The 19855-nt window shown below is 44.7% G+C and overlaps 1 protein-coding gene across 1 annotated transcript in view; it reads left to right on the top strand.

The window, feature by feature from the left end:
* The window catches only part of KIF26B (kinesin family member 26B), a 554448-nt gene that overhangs the window by 260273 nt on the left and 274320 nt on the right, over nucleotides 1-19855 (top strand). The window contains exon 4 of the mRNA NM_018012.4: nucleotides 4322-4488. Within this exon, the coding sequence (NP_060482.2) occupies nucleotides 4322-4488 (167 nt within the window). The remainder of the gene's footprint in view (nucleotides 1-4321; nucleotides 4489-19855) is intronic.

Raw genomic sequence — 19855 nt, forward strand, 5'->3', positions numbered from 1 at the left:
CAGAGAGCTTCAGAAAGAATTTGGATTGGAGTGCTTCTTTCATAGCCAGATCTCATGTAGTAGGTCATTATTTTGTTTCTTTGATTAATAGGACAATTCGGTTACAACCGAAGGTACTGTAACCCTGCAACCCTAGAGAGGATTTGCAGGGCTGAGGAAGAGTAAATTCCTATTAGCAAGTATCTTGGTGGCAAGCAAGATGGCACCTTGGTAAGAAGTTATCCATCCAACTCAGCACTCCAAAGACCTGCATACCAGTGTATGCGGGAAAAACCATAGCCGGTCTAACAGGGAGGCGCCTTCTCGCTCAGAATCATCTACAATGGATATGATTGTAATTGTTGAAGAAGCTACAGCTGCTTCTACTGAGAGCAAGCCTCGCTCTTCTGTTTTTCAGAATTATAAAAATGGAGCTAAACAGAGATAATGGAAGTTGCTTTTGGAGCACTATCTTGCAGACTGTCTTTGCACAAGATATTGACAGGAAATGTCTGCACGTTTCTTAGAGCCTCCTGAATCTTCAGCATCTACTTTTTTTTTTTTTTTTGCCTGACATATACCAAGCACCCAACACATGGTTGTTCATACGAATGAATGAACAAATGAACTAGTAGACTAAAAAAGAGGCAGCTCTTGATCCCCAAACATTGTGGAGCCAAAACACTATCCTTTGACAGTGATGAGGATGGGAGAAAAGACTGTCATATCTTAAGAATTAAACAAAATAGGCCAGGCGCGGTGGCTCACGCCTGTAATCCCAGCACTTTGGGAGGCTGAGGTGGGCGGATCACCTGAGGTCGGGAGTTCGAGATCAGCCTGGCTACCATGGAGAAACCCCGTCTCTAGTAAAAATACAAAAAAAAAAAAAAAAAGTTAGCCAGGCACAGGGGCGCATGCCTGTAATCCCAGCTACTCTGGAGGCTGAGGTAGGAGAATCTCTTGAACCCGGAAGGCGGAGGTTGCAGTGAGCTGAGATCACGCCATTGCACTCCAGCCTGGGCAACAAGAGCGAAACTCTGTCTCAAAAAAAAAAAAAAAAAAAGAATCAAACAAAATAGAAAAGCAATGAAATGTTTTAAAGAAATGACTCTTACTTAAAAGACTTAAGAAAATTTACGTAGATACACGTGAGCAGTAGAAAGTAAGAATAGCTCAGATTTATTTCACAAACATGTTTTGAGCATCTTTGTGTGCCAGCCATTGTATTGACCTTGGTATACAGTGGTGAGCAAACCAGCCTTAGACCTAGAGACCTGGGGCTTTTGTGTAGTGGGGGAAAATGACTTACTATTAAATGCATGATATGAACCGAAGTGGAGATACTGAGGGAAAAGATTGAGGCTCTGTAAAAGCATCCAGCAGAGGAAGCATAGGCTGGAAGAAGGCTTCTCGGAGGAAGTGAGGCTTGAGCTTACATCTGCAGGAAAAGTGGGAGCATTCCATATGGAGAGCAAAGGCCCCACGGCAGAAGGAGCAGGAGGTGTGTTTGAGGACCTTGCCCGAGGCTGGAGCCCTGGAGTGTGAAACTGAGGGGGAGGTAAATTAGCAGTTCCTGTAGCCAAATCCTGGTCTGTTATTTCTGAAAGTCTGTCATCTCTGAAGAGGATACTGGGCATAAATACAAATGAGAACATGATCTTTTAGGTGGTGAGAGTCTATAGAGCAGGCATTTGGAGGGATGCCCTCTCCCCATTGTGGAACTAGCAGAACAAAATCTAAAGAATGCACAAAAGAAACCAAAAAATGAGCTGTTAGGTTCTAAGGAGGGAGGGAGTGTGATGGAAAGCACACCATGAGAAATAAGGACATGGACCTGCCCCCGCCCCATCATGACACTGGCTGTGTCTGAAAAATGGAGCAGGAAAGGCAGCGTGACTAGGAAAATGTGCAGTTTTAATTTTACATAATATTTGTTTTTTTTTAGAAAATATTTTCTAAGATAAAAAATGCTAACATTTGTGAATAGTGGTAGTGGATACATGTGTATGTTTTATTATTGGATTTTTTTCTATATATCACATTTTTTTAATTAGAAGGGGAAGACTTTTTTTTTTCTTAAATTAGAAGAGGGGCAGTTAAAGGAAGGAGGTAGGTGCTAGGAATGGTTTAAGAGTCAGGGTCCTATTCCTAGATACAAATTGGCTTGGGCAAATTGCTTCTCTGGTCTTCAGGTGTCTTATCTAAGGAGAAGAGTTTTGAAGATGATGATGTTGGAAATCCCTTCTAGCTCTAGAACGTTCTGTGATCCTGATTTTTAAAAACAATTGATGATTGAATAGTTCTATTTATAGGCTTGGGAATTTGGTGTCTCATGCTCACTAATCCCTGATTCTTTAAAATTAGGAGAAACAATCTTGCTTGGCACAAGATAGCCAATAGCTTTCTAGTCAGGAAGCTCGTGCATTGAAATTCATTTGCCCAGAGACATTTTCAAAAGCTGTGAACCCACAGGTCGCTGACATCCCTTCTGGACCAGATGTGGGAATCTGGACCCACCCAGAAAGCTGTGCCTCTGTGTCAGGCATCCTGCCATTCACCACACGCGTTCCAGCGGCTGCTCTCTGGCTTTGCAGGGCACCTGCAGGACAGTTTGTGCATAAGGAATCCCTTCCCTCCAAATTTTAGATGAGAAATATGGTAATGAAAGGAAATAACCCAGGCAGAGTGGCTTGTTTCACATGTCACGGTGTGTCAAAATCAGATGTATGTCTTAGATTCTTGGGGGAAAAAAAAAGTTGTCGCATGAATTTGGGGGTTTTGTTTTGTCTTTGGACATGGTCCGGGAGGCATGATGCGCGCCCTGGAGCTTCATCGATGCTGTTGAGTGGGGATGACGGTGTGCATCGCCACATCCTCAGCTTTCCAGTTGTTTCAGCTGCGCCCTCCAAGCTGCCCTGTTCCGCGGGGACAATAGCAGCCAGTGGACGGGAGCCCGCACCACACAGCAGCAAAGGAAGCCGGAGGAGAGGCTCTGCGGGCTCTCTGCTCCGTCAGCAGGAATGTCCTCCGGGCCAGCAGCTGCCTTTGCAGCCACCTCTCCAGTTTCTGTCACTTGGGTCAAGTTTCCTTATAATGCGTTAAATGAATGAGAATAAGAAAGTGTGTGTTGGCAGAATTTCCGTTGAATAATGCCAAGGCTTTCCAAGTAAGAGCATGAATTTAAGCGGAGCAAAGTTCCCAGTCAATGGGATTCAGAGTAATGGCTATTCTGCTAATAATGAAAAGTAGAAATGTTTTTACTTTTAAAGGTTCACAAATGGGCTACTCTTAGGGCTCGCTGGCCTATTCAGTTACAAAGTGGAAACTGTTCCGGATCTTTGCTTTATTGCACTTGTATTTAGTAGGTGATTGGAAACATTTTCCACTTAGCATTTAAGGGTTTGAATAGACTGGTGACTTTTTTTCAACTAAAGTTTCCTCTTTTTTAAAAAACTGACATTTTTCTTTTTTTGCAAGTAGACTGAAGATTTCAAGTAACAGGTTTTCCAAATACTTAGACTCTGCCTGCATAATTATTATATTTGCCGTGGGGATTAGCACTTTTCAAAAGTGTATTTCTACACAACATCCTTGTTTTGCCCCAAAGTTTGATTCTTCACAGCTTATTACGTAGATTTAGGCAAAATGGACCGAGCTCCATCCACTAGAACTTCCATTATAAAGGCAATCATTTCGAATGAAACAGAAGCCATTTATCTTAATGAACCAGCAGGAAAATGAAGTCTGTTGAAATGATCTGAACCCTTCAAAAAATATTGGTAATTCATTGTGGCTATATTTATTTTTATTAGTTTCTCTATGTTGCCTGTTTTATTGACTTTCCACAGCAAACCACCACCCCCACCAGCACCACCAAATACCGTTGTATTTTGATTCCTTATGTTCTTTATTAGCAGGCTTACTTCTCTCTTCATAGAACTATGCCTTTGCCCCACTGCTCCATTTCAGAGCATTCGGGGCTATTCCTGGTAAGAAGCCAGCATTAGTTAATGTTACTGTTCTGGTCTTGGGCTGCAAAGAGTGCATGGATAATGGTTCATGTTTTCCCCTCCAAATGGAGGGAAGACACAGACATAATTGAAACTTACAATGTCGGGGGATAATTTTATACCATTATTTTTAATGAAAACGGGGAAGTATCCTAGCTAAAATGCTGGAAAATAGCCTTCCAGTAGCCCTAAGCATCCACGTGTAACTGAATGCAGGTGGGATAGAAACCTGTTCCCTCTTGCCTCCCTCCCCCAAATAGAGAGATGCTGTCAGTGGTCAGGAAAAGCAGTGAGCCACAGGTAATGAGCTCCGTATCCATTTTCTTTGTCAGATCTCCCAGCTGATGACAGAGAGTAGCCGGGAGGGACTAACAGAAGCAGTGCTGAACCGCTACAATGCAGACAAGCCTTCCGCCTGCAGTGTCCCAGCCTCGCAGGGCTCCTGCGTGGCCAGCGAGACTTCCACAGGCACATCGGTGGCCGCCTCCTTCTTTGCACGGTAAGAGAGCTGTTCAGATCCTTGGTTCTTTCCGATGAGCCCAGCTGGTTAGCCCCTCACGTGGACTAGCTCAGCTGAAACACTAGAAAGAGTTTGGGGCCGTTCTGTGATGTCATTCATTAAGACAGAGTTTCTCAGCCATGGCACTGTGACCTCTCGGGCCAGCTAACTGTGGTGGGGACTGTCCTGTGTGTTATAGGGTGGGCTGCAGCATCCTTGGCCTGTACCCCTCGATGTGTGCCCGCAGTACCCTCCTCCAGTCGTGACTACCAAAAATGTCTGCAGACATTGTGAGAGGCCCCAGGGTCGAGAGTCGCTGCTCTCTTGATGTGTAGCTCCAAAGATGCTCTTTTGCAGCATCAGGACTTTGTAGAGGCATCCCTCTGGTGGGTGTTTCCAGATTTATCTTCTCATTACAGAAATTGAACTGCTTAAAAGCTATTAAATAGATGGCAGGTTTTCTCCCCCGCTTCTTGACAGATTAGCCAGAGTGTTATCAAATACTCTCCAGCTAATCTTGGGAACTTCAAAAATACAAGAAACAAAAAAGAAAGGTATTTCAACAATGTTTTCTGCCTAATTTTAGCAACATGGCAGAGACGGGGCGGGAGACGAAGGACAGCTGAGCAGGAAAGGACTTCAGGGATTGTCTGGTTCCATCTCCTTATTTATGAATGAGGAAACCGAGGACCAGGAAGGTTCAACTAGGAGTGAGTTTATAGCACAGCCAGAAATAGAAACCGGATTGCTCTACATTTTTCTGTATAACTCATGTTTTAATTTAATGCTCAGAACTGAACCTTGGAAAACTTTCTCTGTCTAAGATTTGCAAGCTCCTGAGTAAACAGGACATAGAATAAATGCGATAGCATCAGATACGAAATCACAAGACCTTTTGGGTTCCAGTTGCAGCAGTTCTGCCTCAGTTTCTTCATGTATAAAATGAGGATGATACCTGCTCTGCAGGGTCGCTCCGAAGACTAACATAAGATGATGAGAAATTATAAAGTACTGTAGAAATGGTTACTACTATGTCAGTAAGAAGGAATATTGTGTGGCTTTGCTTGTTATCTTTATGAATGGTAACATCCAGAACACAAATATGGGGAAGGGGCTCTGATTAGGACAGCGGCAAGGCAGAGGAGGACAGAGGGCTAAGACCCTGGATGATGGGACCCTAAAGGCAGCACACAGGGCTTGTTGGAAGACCGGCTTTGAGGGTCTTCATTGTATTTTGGTGCTGTGTTTATTGTCGTATGAACACTTGGGACAACTTGAATGTGTGGGAAGTAATAGGAAATATGTATAGGCTGGCCACCCAACAATGGGGACCATTGTGTTAGCCCTGTCTGGACATGAATCTCTGTGTTGTCCCAGACCATTAAGCAGGGAGTCCAAGCTCACTGGGAGGTCATGTCCATGCCATTTAGGGAGAGAATAAAGACAGGGAACAGTTATGAGGAAATGTCACAAGCACAGAAGCTCCTAGGAGGTTATTAGAACATGTTCAAAGGAGGCTGACTAAGAAGCCATGGCATGGCAGGTTCAGTTTGGAGAAGAGAAGGACTCTGGGGTACATCATGGATGCCCTCAGCTATCTCTCAGGCTATTGTATAAATGGAGACTTGGTTCGTTCTGTAGAGCAACCAGTTATGTAGGCAAAGGCTAAATAACGAGGGAGGAGACGGACCTCCCAGCTCAGAATGAAGAACTTGCAATTCCGATGGCTTCAGGAGAGAGTGAGATTTGTGTCCCTAAGGGAGATCAAAGTTATGTTGAGTAATTACCTGGCCTCGATCCTAGAGGGAACATTCAATGCTCAGATGGGAATTGACTTCCGACGTGCCTTTCTAACCTGAAATTCTTTGAAAGTGGAGTCTTCCGTTCAGTTCCAGCCAGAGAATTTTACAGAAGGTTGACTGACTCACAAGGCAACCCAGAAGATTTGAAGCAGGAAGAAATAAGAAGTGAGGGTTCCCAATTGGCAGAATTTAAGGAGAACATGAGTTCTCCTTAAATTCTTGGTGCGAGGAAACCAGCAGCGTCTTTGGAGCTGGGGAAAGGATGTGGAAATGAGGGGGGCCTGGGAACCTCATAGTACTGGACAAGGTGTGCCTGAGGCCAGAGGTCAGGATATCAGAGGAGGATTTACGAACAAGCAAACACACAGCAGGGAAAGGAATAACAAATCACTAGCGAAAGCCTAGGGTGGAAGGGAGATACTGAGGCAAAACCCAAAATGTATGGGCCAGTGATGTCAACTGGGGCAGGCTCTGCAGGTGATGCTAGCAGCAAACAAAGACTTGAAACTCATGACTTCAGAACGACAAGGGCTTGCAGTATGAGCTTTCAAAGAGCTGGAAAGGATCCCTAAGGCTCCCCAAATCTTTACTATTACTTTCTGTGCAGTGAACGCTGATAGTACTTGGAGCTTCATGGTATAAGCATTAAAAGTATGTGGTTTGTATTCAAAGGGTTTACAATGTACAGTGGGAAACAAGTACCATGTGAAAAAGAACAATTCTTTCTATAGATTTCCCCCCCACCCTTTACTCATTACCATATTTTGCCATGTTATTCTCATCATTATTGATGAGAACTATTATTAGCTGGGCTTTCCCACCTCCCAGCGAGGGAGGCAGCATATTAATAACCCCCCTGTCACTGAGGGGCACCCAAAGCAGAAGTGTGACTGACTGGCTCCAGGCTCATCCTGTCAAGAGGCAGAACCAGGGATGTACCTGACAGTTAGGTCCCCAAACGTCCATGTGATAAGCCAAAACCTGCCCAGCTTATGCTGTCAGACAGTCAACTGAGTTCAAAGAGCCTTTTGGTTTTAGCTGAAGCAAAGCTGTGTAAGGGGATGGTAATGACAGCTTTTGATAAGTGTCTGTCCTCATAGGGGTTTGGGGCAGAGTCAGCTCCTACACCTCCAATCTGTGCTCACCACTTTCCACTCTTCCTGCTTGACTGCAATGGAGAGAGAGTCCTCTGAGTCTGCGGGGCCCTGGAACTCTCCTATAGCTCCAAGTCAAGACACAGGGGTGGCCTGCTTTCAGGAAGCTGTCCTGGGCTGGGCATGGTGGCTCACGCCTGTAATCCCAGTACTTTGGGAGACCAAGGTGGGTGGATCACTAGAGACCAGGAGTTCAAGACCAGCCTGGCCAACATGGTGAGACCCCGTCTCTACTAAAAATACAAAAATTAGCTGGGCATGGTGGTGCATGTCTATAATCCCAGCTACTTGGGAGGCTAAGACATGAGAATCACTTGAATTAGGAAGGTGGGGTTTCGGTGAGCCGAGATGGCGCCACTGCACTCCAGCCTGGGTGACAGAGTTGGACTCAGTCTCAAAAAAAAAAAAAAAAAAGGAAAGAAAGAAAGAAAGAAGCAACAGCTATGCTGGGGGCCATTTCGTTTTATATGGGAGGGATGGCATTTGCTAAATTTGTGGCCAATGTGGCTGACGTATATTGAGCACTGAGTGGGCATCACTCACTATTAACTACCTCTTCATATGCAAACCCCCTTCATCTTCACAGTAACCCTGTGAGGCAGAGCCTACCATTTTCTCTGTTTTATGGATAAAGAAGATGGTTCCCTGAGTTACTGACCCAGAGCCACATAGCCGGGAGTGGCGGAGTGGGAAATCCATCCTCGTTTCCTCTCACTTGAGACCCCAGGTTCCTATTCTCTGTGCTAAACAGACACAGGAAGACACTTTATTATAGGGTTTTTTTTTTTTCACCGTAATCATGAACTGATGATTGCTTATAAAACAGGTGTGAAACTACTAGGCCCTGTAATTTGTTTGAGAAGGTGAGTAGAATGACAATAACAAAAACAACAGAAAAACCCCCAATTTGTTGAAGATTTGAAGCAGGAAGAGATAAGAGGTGACACATTTGTTGTTGCTCTTGAGGATTCCTACCTTTACACGGTGTTTTCCTGTTGACGAAAAATATGTCTATCCTGGGTCTGGAATTTTCTGGATAAATGTTGGTGTTCATCTCCATATAGCGTCGCTCTCATTCATGCAGATGTCCACTTTTCTCTGTGATATTAACCTTTATTTAAAATGTATTTATTTTTATTTTAAAATCTTTTTTTTGAGACAGAATCTCACTCTATTACCCAGGCTGGAGTGTAGTGACGTAATCACAGCTCACTGCAGCCTCAGCCTCCCGGGCTCAAGCGATCCTCCCACTTCAGCCTCCTGAGTAGCTGGGACCACAGGAATGCACCACTGTGCCCAGCTAATTTATTTTTATTTTTTGAAGAGATGAGTCTCCCTATGTTTGTTGCGCACGCTGGTCTTGAACACCTAGGCTCAAGCAATCCTTCCACCTTGGCCTCCCATAGTGCTGGGATTATAGTCATGAGCCACTGCACCTGGCCTAAAATTTATTCATTTATTTATTTTTGAGATGGAGTCCCACTCACTCTGTTTCCCAGGCTGGAGTGCAGTGGCGCGATCTCCGCTCGCTGCAACCTCTGCCTCCCAGGTTCAAGTGATTCTGCCTCAGCCTCCCGAGTAAGATTACAGGTGTGCACCACCACATCAGCTAATTTTTGTATTTTTAGTAGAGATGGGGTTTCATCATGTTGCCCAGGCTGGTCTTGAACTCCTGACCTCAAGTGATCCACCTGCCTTGGCCCCCCAAAGTGCTGAGTATTGTTTTGATTGACTAATAAACATTGTATATATTTACGGAGTAAAATATGTTTTGAAATATGTACATATTGTGGAATTAGCCTGTGTTTTTAAATGCTTACTTTCTAGAACTGTGGGTGGAGGTCTGGGTGAACCTTGTTACATTTCAAATTCAATGCCTATAAAATAAGAATTTCAATTTTGAATAAGCAGTGTGTGGTCTGTGCTGGTCCACACACGGTTACTGGTCTGTGATAAGTATAGAAATGGAGAGGAAGCGTTTAGAAACATCTGCTGATGGAATAATTTTCTGTCTGTTGAATCTAAGAATAAAAAATCGGGGCTTGCATTTTGTGTATAACTAGAAGTAAAAGAAAAATTGGTCCTTCACCCGGATAGTTTGAGATGCACTGCTATAGAGAACGATGGAGCATGAAGCACCTGTTCTGTGCTTTTCTTCCTCTCACGATTGTCTTTAAATGGTCAGCATCTTAGTAGCTGTCTTTGCTTCAGAATTTCAGTACCTTCCCTTTTTTTTTCGAGAAAAGACACTGTTTCTGGAAAAAATAGTAACAGTCACCCAGAAAAGAGATCGAGACAACTGATCGTCAAGTTGGTTAACTATTATGTGCTGGCTTTGAACATCAAGAACATTTCAAACGAGGGCCTTTTTTTTTTTTTTGCATGATTTTCACATTAATAGAAAATGGTGAAGTAGGGTATCATTAGATTTTCCCATTTGCTGACAGTTCACTTTGAATAAAGGTGGACTTAATGATGTACTTTACCTTATAAAGTATGGAGTACATGAAACCCAATAAAAACTCTTGGGTGAAACCCTAGCTTTGTAGGTTGAGGCAGTGGAACCTTCATGTATATTTGAAGAGCAGTTAGTGGATTCTGGATTATGCATAGAATTGAACCCTGAAACAGAAAATGAATCTTTTGGGTGACCTCATATCTTTGCATTGATTTTCTTTCCCAAATAACCATTAAAACTCATGGGTTTTGTTTTTGTTTTTTTTGAGATGGAGTCTCGCTCTGTCGCCCAGGCTGGAGTGCAGTGGTGCAATCTCGGCTCACTGCAAGCTCCACCTCCCAGGTTCAAGCGATTTTCCTGGCTCAGCCTCCCGAGTAGCTGGGACTACAGGCGTCCAACACCACACCCGGCTAATTTTTGTATTTTTAGTAGAGACGGGGTTTCACCGTGTTGGCCAAGATGGTCTCGATCTCCTGACCTCATGATCCTCCCGCCTCCGCCTCTCAAAGTGCTGGGATTACAGGCGTGAGCCATGGCGCCCAGCTGTGTTTTTTTATTCATGGAGAAAATTAGCTTCTGTAGAATTTTCATCTACATTCAGAGCAAGAGTTTGAAAAATGGTGAAAATGGACAAAGATCACATGAGCACAAAGACACTGTCAAGTTTTGGCAGAGCTGGTATCGCCAGTTCCATGGCGTTGGTGAGCACAGAGACTTCCAGTTCTGCCCTCAGACATCACTTCTAAATTGTCATATTTTTGGTGTTCAGCTTTTATGTTTAGTTGACAGCCTTTCTACCAAATTCTAATCAGATTTCCAAGTAAAATTATATTAAGGGCATTTTTTATTTTCCGTGATTTTATTTAAATTTTCCTGTTTTCTTAATATAAACAAATACCTTTCCATTCTGTTATCTCAGGTTCTGATGACTTCAGATCAGAACTTACTATCTTCAAATCCTTTATTCTGTTTTTTTGCTCATTATTGACTCTGTTACATTAGTTAGAGCTTCTTTCTCTCTCTCCCCCTTCCTCTCTCTCCCTCCCTCCTCCCTCCCTTCTTTCCTCCCTTCCTGTTTTTCCATCTGCTCTTGAAGATTCCTACCTTTACACAGTGTTTTCCTGTTGACGAAAAATATGTCTCTCCTGGGTCTGGAATTTTCTGGATAAATGTTGGTGTTCATCTCCATACAGCGTCACTCTCATTCCTTTCTCTGGGATCCCTGTTGTCTGCTTTCTCTTCCACACTTGCCAAGCTGTCCCTCACTTTCTCCCACTGACTCCTCTAACTCCTTGCCGTCGGCCCAAACACATTCCTTTCTCAGGACGTGATTGTTTTTCTGTCCATCTCAATCTCTTGTGTGGTATCTTCCATCGTTGTTTTTGAATGGCTCCCTGTGTTACCTGAACAGCATTCTTCAGTCCTCTTGAGCATGTCACTGACTGTTGTATGACTGATTTGACCAGTATCCCCTTGGGTCCAGAGGTTGCCGTAGTGTTAAAACCAAGCCCCGCTCAGGCCCTGGGGTCAGGGCTAGGCTGAGCAGAGAGGACTGACCTCTGGCTCCCAGGCCCTGCCTTCAGGACCACGTGGCTTCTCTTGTTAGTTCCCTGTGGGGCCTGCTCTTCGTGCTGTGTATCCTCATGTGACCATACGGAGAGCTGTTACTGGTCTGATGACCATTATTGCCGCACTCTCGCTGAGAAGCAACTCAGATAGCGCCTTGCTGTGATGGTTTCAGCAAATGCTTTTCATATATGATCTTGTATGATGAAGGCTTTCTTTAGTCCCTGGGCCCTTAACAGTGGTACTTGGTTATATGTTTGGAGTTGATGAAGTCAGAGAAGGATGGGAAGGAGCGTGGAACTGTTCCTGCTTCTTTTGTTCTTCTGTCAGGTACAGTTCCCTTTAGGGATGCTCCCTTCTTCCCCTTAGAAATACATCAACAATATTACCAGAGAAAAACTACCCTAAACATACCACAATTGGTCTCAGGTGATCTAGGCGGAGGAAAAATTGAGCTGGGTGTCTGAGATCCAACTCCTAGGCGTCAATTGACTGTGGAGAGACAGGGCACAAGTTCTGCCTCCAGTTTCACAACTTGGAACAGTTAATGTCCAGCACTGTTTCCATTATGATAGAATGATGCCTTTACAAAAACAAACAGGCCAGGCGTGGTGGCTCACACCTGTAATCCCAGCACTTCGGGAGGCCGAGGCAGGCAGGATCACCTGAGGTCGGGAGTTTGCGACCAGCTTGACCAACATGGAGAAACCCCGTCTCTACTAAAAATACAAAATTAGCCAGGCATGGTGGTGCACGCCTGTAATCCCGTCTACTTGGGAGGCTGAGGCAGGAGAATCACTTGAACCCGGGAGGTGGAGGTTGCGGTGAGCCAAGATCACGCCATTGCACTCCAGCCTGGACAGCAAGGGTGAGACTCTGTCTCAAAACAAACAAACAAACAAAGAAAAAGCCCTTTTAGGAGCTCATATTGTAGAACTTCACTGTATTATTTTTTTTTCCTGTTTCTTGTTTTGTTTTCACTGAAGCATATTTTGCTTACCCTTAGTTCCTTGCACTTGCCAGGGTCCCGTTCTGACTTGGTGTCTGTTCTTTTCTCCTTGCCCCAGTGTATCCCCTCGTTCTCACATTCCAGATCTCAGTCTGCCTATTCCAGGACTTCCCATGGAAGCAGGGCTACCATTGAGCTTCCTGTGGGACACTTGTGGTCGGGGCCAACATGCATAATTGTGCCATCTATTCACAGAACCAGGGCGCCCAATTGTAGGAGTGAGTGGGGCTTAAATCCAGCCAACACTGTGCCAGCCTGGTGGAACCACCTCCTCTGGGGCTCTGTCAATCCTCCTTGGATGCAGGTAATGTCTGGGCTCATGTTGTCCTGGCCGGCCCTGCCTCCTTCACTGGTGGCCAAGCAGTGTCAGGACATAGATCTTTGAAGGGCTGAACTGGAAGGCAAACCCCTACCCTCTGGTTTCTTATTTATTTATTTATTCCTGACAGGTCGTAGCTTTACTCTGCTTAGAAAATACTCCGTTGATTTCTTGGAAAAGAAGGGACTCTCACTCATGTATATTGATGAAGTGAATTTTTAGGAATCATAGTTCTATGAATATGGTCTCACTTTAACTCACCTTATGAAAGGAAAACATTAAGAAGCAACCAAGGGTATATTTAGTGCCATCCGATTTCAAGGGCCCTAGAAAACAGTCTCAGGCATTTGCTGTGTGAAGCTGAACCTCCTCAGTTGCTTATGAGACAGCGAAAGCACAGAAGGAAAAGTGGTTGTAATTTAACGTCTACACTGTTTTCCCTTCTGCTAAAAACATGCCTAAAACACCTCAAATAGATAACCCTAACATCCAATATGCAACCCCAGCAACCCCCAACTGTTCTGTTGTTGGGGGTGCAGTCCGTAACAGAAGTGGCATTCATAGCTTGGCACACACCACTCTGAGATGGTGAGCTACGCTAAAGAAAATGACCAGCGTTTGCGGCCCCTTCCCATCTTCTGCTGCAGGGAATGTGGTCAGGTGGAGCATTTTCTGATTAAACAAGTCCTTTGTCTGACTGGCGGCCGGTTGGGGTGTTGGCAATTGGCTCCCAACATCTGGGAATCATTTCCACGGCTTTGCCTAGGTTGAAAACTCAGTTCATGTCTTGATGTGAATGTCTGAAGGCAAAGCAATTTCAACAAGCCTCAAGAATCCCAGGGATTCTTGTAAGATACTCTCAGGGTTAAGGATTCTAGTTCTTATTGCACATTTTGCATTTTTTGTTTTAATTGATGCTGTGGTGGGGGCGGGGGTGGGGGGCAGTGGTTAGGAGAGAAGGATATTGAATAAGCAAACAGAAAGCTGGAGAAGCCCAGGCTTGAATTCTCAGCCAGACACTGACATTCTGACTTGAGGCAAGTAACTTAACCTTGCTAAGCTTCCGTTGCTTCTGTTCAATGGAGATCATCATATCTGCTTTATAGGATTATGGAGAGGATTAAATGAAAATGTGATAGTCCTTGGTAAACTTCATCCAAATCCTACAGATAATGTGAAGATGGCACGTGCTATAAAAAGGATGGAGTTCTGTCCTCAATGAATTCTCAACGTTCCCTTTTGAGTAGATGACTTTTCGTTGAGACCTTTACAGGCTGTTTAGGTGGCCCTTTGTTATCTGTCTAACGACTGTCCAGGCCTTCTGTGGCAATTATAAAGATCTGGTATCATGTCTCTGAGAACAAAAACCACCTACAGAAGGAGCTGAAGAGCAATTCGCCCTTAAATCTCACCTGTTACGAACTAGATGCCATTGGTGATGGAAAATATCAGTGACCCATACGGAGAGAGAAACCTGCCCTCAAGTAGCTGCATTTTAGCAGAGCTCCAGGTAGGTCACTGCTCACCTCTAAATCTTCTGAAGAGGTTTCATTTTTTTGTTGGTTTTTGTTTTGTTTTGAGTTGCAGTCTCGCTCTGTCTCCCAGCCCAGATTGCAGTGGCACAATCTCGGCTCACTGCAATCTCCACCTCCTGGGTTCAAGCAATTCTTCCACCTCAGCCTCCCAAGTAGCTGGGATTACAGGCACCTGCCACCACACCTGGCTAATTTTTGTATTTTTTAGTAGAGATGGGGTTTTGCCATGTTGGCCAGGCTGGTCTTGGACACCTGACCTCAGGTGATCTGCCCACCTTGGCCTCCCAAAGTGCTGGGATTACAAGCATGAGCCACTGCACCCGGCCTTGTTGTTGTTTTATAGCCCTAGAAAAACTGGTACCAAACAATAAGGAAGAGACTGAAGGGAAAAAAGAAGATGGGGAGGGGCTTTAAGAATTCTGTTCCCATAGAACTTTGTGACTCACTGAAGGCCAGCAAGCTGGAATTGTCGTGATACTCACAGTGGACATTAACGAAAACAGTGAATAAAAGTAAAAGGGGAAATGTTCTTTCTTTGTGAATACCCTCGTGATCTGAACTGGGGGCTGAAGAGGGAGGATGGGGTGACATGGAGTAGATTCAGGAAAAGCAGAGTAGAAACCTGTGAACTGAAGGAGAGGACCAATGGATGAGGAGAGGATGCAATTTTATCTAGTATATGTTGCGTAAATTTGTTTCCTGGTCTACACTTCTACCACCACCCTAATACAGTACCGCTATAATATGTTTCCTTCCTTCAGCACTGACTCATTTAAAAATCGTACTGGCCAGCCAGGTGGTGCCATGGCTCACAACTTGTAATCCCAGTACTTTGAGAGGCTGAGGTGGGAGGACAGCTTGAGGCCAGGAGTTCAAGACCAGCCTGGGCAACATAGCAAGACCCTGTATCTGGAGAAAAATTTAAAAAAGCAACCAAGTGCAGTGGCACATACCTGTAATCCTAGCTACTTGCGGGGCTGGGGCAGGAGGATCGCTTGAGCCCGGGAGGTTGAGGCTGCAGTGAGCTACGATCTCACCAGGGCACTCCAGCCTAGGCGACAAGAGTGAGACCCTTCTCTTAGAAAAAAAAATAATCATAATAGCCTACATTTTTGAGGGCTTCTTATATGCCACACACTATTCTGAGTTCTTGACACACATTTAATCTTCAGAAGCCCCCATGAGTTGGCCGTGTTTTTATCCCATTGTTTAGACGTGGAAACTGAAGCACAGAGGGCAGAAGTAAGTTGACCAAGTCCACACAACTAGTAGGCAACGCATAGGGATCCGAGCCAGGTGTCTGATTCCAGAGGCCACAAGCCAGAATATAAGCTCCAAATATAAGGTGGGGACATTTGTGTCTTTGTTCTTGGCTGAAGCTCCAGCACCTAAAAGAACACTCAAGAAATGTTTGTTGAATAACTCAATGATGGTCTTAGCCACCATGCTCTCCTGCCTCCAAACTCAAGATGGGTTGCAATGGACAGGGGTCATTAACTAAGCAGTCTCAATGCAACGATCTCAATGTGAGACCAAAGTAGAGAATGGGTACAAAGTGCACCACAGAAGCTATAGGGGGAAGCTTTTGGAACAACTACTCTTTTTTTTGAGACAGAGTCTCGCTCCGTCGCCCAGGCTGGAGTGCAGTGGTGCGATCTTGGCTCACTGCAACCTCTGCTTCCTGGGTTCAAGCAATTCTCCTGCCTCAGCCTCCTGAGTAGCTAGGACTGCAGGCGCCCGCCACCATGCCCAGCTAATTTTTTTTTTTTTTTTTGAGACAGAGTCTTGCATTGTCGCCCAGGCTAGGGTGCAGTGGTGCGATCTCGGCTCACTGCAACCTCTGCCTCCCGGCTTCAGGCGATTCTCCTGCCTCAGCCTCCCAAGTAGCTGGGATTACAGGCATCCGCCACCATGCCCAGCTCATTTTTTCTATTTTTAGTAGAGACAGGGTTTCACTATGTTGGCCAGGCTGGTCTCAAACTCCTGACCTTGTGATCTACCCACCTCAGCCTCCCAAAGTGCTGGGATTACAGGCGTGAACCACTGCGCCCAGCCAATTTTTATATTTTTAGTAGAAACAGGGTTTCACCATATTGGCCAGGCTGGTCTTGAACTCCTGACCTTGTGTTCCACCCACCTTGGCCTCCCAAAGTCCTGGGATTACAGGCGTGAGCCACTGCGCCTGGCCTGACCAACTACTGTTTATGCTTCTAATTTTGTTAGTTACTAAAATATCGCTTTCAGTCTCATGCAGTAAAAGCAAAAGGTTTTTCAGTGACTTACAAGGCTCTGTGCACACCATCTGTCCCCTGCCCTCTTCCTCTGCCATGTTCCCACTTGCTTACTCTGCTCTAGGCATATTGACCTCCTTGCTTTTCCTCTAAAAGTGCCAAGGCCATTCCCTCCCCCTAGGCTTTGTTCTTCTGCTTGGCTTAACCAGACCTTCCTTCAGATCTTTGCTCAAATGCCACTTCCTTGGTAAAGCCCTCTGTGACCTCCCTGTTTAAAATTACAATAATCCCACCTGTGCACCCCTCCCTCTCGCGTGGTACCTGCTACATTAGGAATATTTGCTGAATGAATGAATCTCAGACAAATGGGAGATGGGCGGCTAAGTCTCCAGATTGTCCTGCATTGAAGTGCTTGGAGAAGTTTGCGAATTTTCCCACTCAGTTCAAACCACATGCTCAGGAATTAAAGTGTTCTTTCAGCTTTCAGATGTTTTCGGGGGATAGCATTGTAACAAAGCATGAAAAAAAGCAGTGTTGGGAAATTGAGATTCTTATTACAGTGGGAGTACCTGGTTGTCATTTCAAGATGAGGATTTGTTAAGGGATGGGACAAGGGATGCTGCCTGGGACAATAAACCAAAGAAAGATTTAAAACAGAGAAAAGAGTTATTAGTTACAGGACTAGCACAAACAAAGTAGGGCTCTCCATCTTTTTCCTGTCTCGCTGAAAACCCATCTTTTCTTCCCTTGAATAAACTTCTTTGCTTTCTGTCCCCCTGCTTTGATTTATTATTTTAATTCTATAGCTGTCTTCGTGAAGTATGTAAAGCATTTGGGGGTAAAATCATGTGGAAGACATTATAGAAACTAAAGATGTGTGATATTATGTGGTGTTGGGTAGAGGCTCAGCGTGCTTATGAATCACACGGTTGATGAAAACACCAATCTGTCCAGGGCCATTGTCTATCAGCTGTATAAGAAATTGGCTCATTGTTGAGGGTACAAGAAGGAGGAATGTAAGGGGGACTGCCGGAATAATTCGGTTAGAATTCGGTAAAACCGGAGCATGGAGAGGTCTGGTTGACATCCCTCCTTTTTATACTGAGAGATGTCCCTGAAGGTGAGGTTTTTATTTTCTTGCCTCTAAAAGGGAAATAATGAATGTTTCTATTTCTTCTGTCCTATTACTCTGTGATGAATGCTTCTTTTATTTTTATCTGAGTCTAACTCCCTCCACCATACTTAGCATCATGCTTGCATCATATCCATTAATAAATGGATGTTGAAAGAATGAATCAACCATGCTTGAAAACTTAGATCTCTCTTGCTTTTCAAGAGACTCAAATATTTAAAAGCAGCTATGGAGCCGTGTGCGGCGGCTCCCGCCTGTAATCCCAGCACTTTGGGAGGCCGAGGCAGGTGGATCACAAGGTCAGGAGTTCAAAACCAGCCTGGCCAACATAGTGAAGCCCCATCTCTACTAAAAAAAAAAAAAAAATTAACAGGGCGTGGTGGTGGGCACCTGTAGCCCCAGCTACTTGGAAGGCTGAGGCAGGAGAATCGCTTGAACCTGGGAGGTGGAGGTTGCAGTGAGCCGAGATTGCGCCACTGCCCTCCAGCCTGGGTGACACAGCAAGACTCTGTCTCAAAAAAAAAAAAAGAAGAAGAAGAAGAAGAAGAAGTAAGAAGTTATGGGATTGTGCTTGCAAGCAGCACAGTTTATTGTGTAGCATCAGAGTTTTCATCATTCCAAGTATTAGTGATAAAAATAATTCTGAAGGATAAATGGCATATTTTCCATTGTTGATTTCAACACAGTTAGACTCAGCAGTGCACCATTTCTGATAATCATCTATCATTTTACTCAGCATATGCAAAAAATGATCTTAGCATCACATGGCAATTAGATGCTTTTTTTTCTGGCACCTGGTGTGCTTGTTCATGAAGTGCACTGAGATTCCGGAAATATAATTTCAAAAGCCTAGAAATAATGGCCCATGTCATTTTCTTGGCATTCTTCAAAACCAAAGCCTTAAGAGTCCATGGTTTGTCCTTTTAAACCCCAGCAACGGAAAGAAAGGGCCTTGGCAGTGACAAAGAAAGAGAAATTCTCTTGGGGGTCTGTAGTGAAAAGGGATGTAATCAGTACCAGGCAAGCCACTTTGATTTTTTTTTTAAAAAATGAACAAATATAAACCATTACTCAAAATTTCTTTCCAGTCTTTTTGGTGCTTCAGAATATAAATGTGGCTCATTTTTCTCTAATAAGTTTCCATTTATTATCATAGTCATCTCTTCAGTGCTCAATCAAAGTGGCAAGGTTGTATTTGTGGAGAAAACAGAATATTTTGTAACATGGCTATCCTGAATTTTAGAGGCACTTACTAGGGATGGAAAAACTGGTCTGAAGTTCTTAGGCATACTCTTACCACCTAAAAGTGTTCAGCGATAAAAATAATTGCTTTGTTTTTACCTTTGAGGAACTCCAAGTATCAGGTTAAAAATTGAGAGAGGTAGTGAAAGAGAGTCAGTGATTCCAGTGTTTCAGAAAGTCTGACCTGGCCAGGGTCCAGCTGGGCTGCAAGAACCTCCTTTCTCTCCCTGTCTCTGCAGCTCCATCACTCACCATTCTCTCCAAGTCCCTTGGGAATACATGGGGAGAACCTAGTGGCCATAGCAGATACTGCTGGTCCCCCTCTTCCCCCACTCCTTGCCACCTCATCATTTGCTTGCACAAAACCTTATGGTTCTCAAGGCCCAGCACCTGTGACTCTGCCCGAGGGTTTCCTCTGGCTGTGGGAGCCCCCTGCACCCACACAGGGGGCAGGCCACTTGGGAGCAGGCCCAGGTAAGACTGGCAGGAGTTGGTGGATAAACACCCCAGCTCTCTTGTCTCTAGGTGGGGATAATTCTGAGGCATGGTCTACTCTGTCTCCCATATTTCCCTGGCAGGATTGAGCCCCAGTTGTCTGTGTCCATAACCTGCTTGAGAACACAGACTCTGGTATCTTCCTTCCTTCCCTTCTCCCTTCCTCACTGTCTTATGGCTGTTACCTAGAGTCACCTCCCAGTTAACCTACCAGCACCCTCATCCTTGTACAAGGATATGTCTGAGGGAACTTGGTATAAGATATTGGAAGTATATGCTCTTTTGTCCATCCATCCATCCATCCATCCATCCATCCATCCATCCATCCATCTCTCCATCCACCCATTCATCCATCCATCCATCTCTCCATCCATCCATCCATCCATCCATCCATCCATCCATCCATCTCTCCATCCATCCATCC

Source organism: Homo sapiens, chromosome 1 (assembly GCF_000001405.40).
Source record: "Homo sapiens chromosome 1, GRCh38.p14 Primary Assembly".
Lineage (NCBI taxonomy): Eukaryota > Metazoa > Chordata > Mammalia > Primates > Hominidae > Homo > Homo sapiens.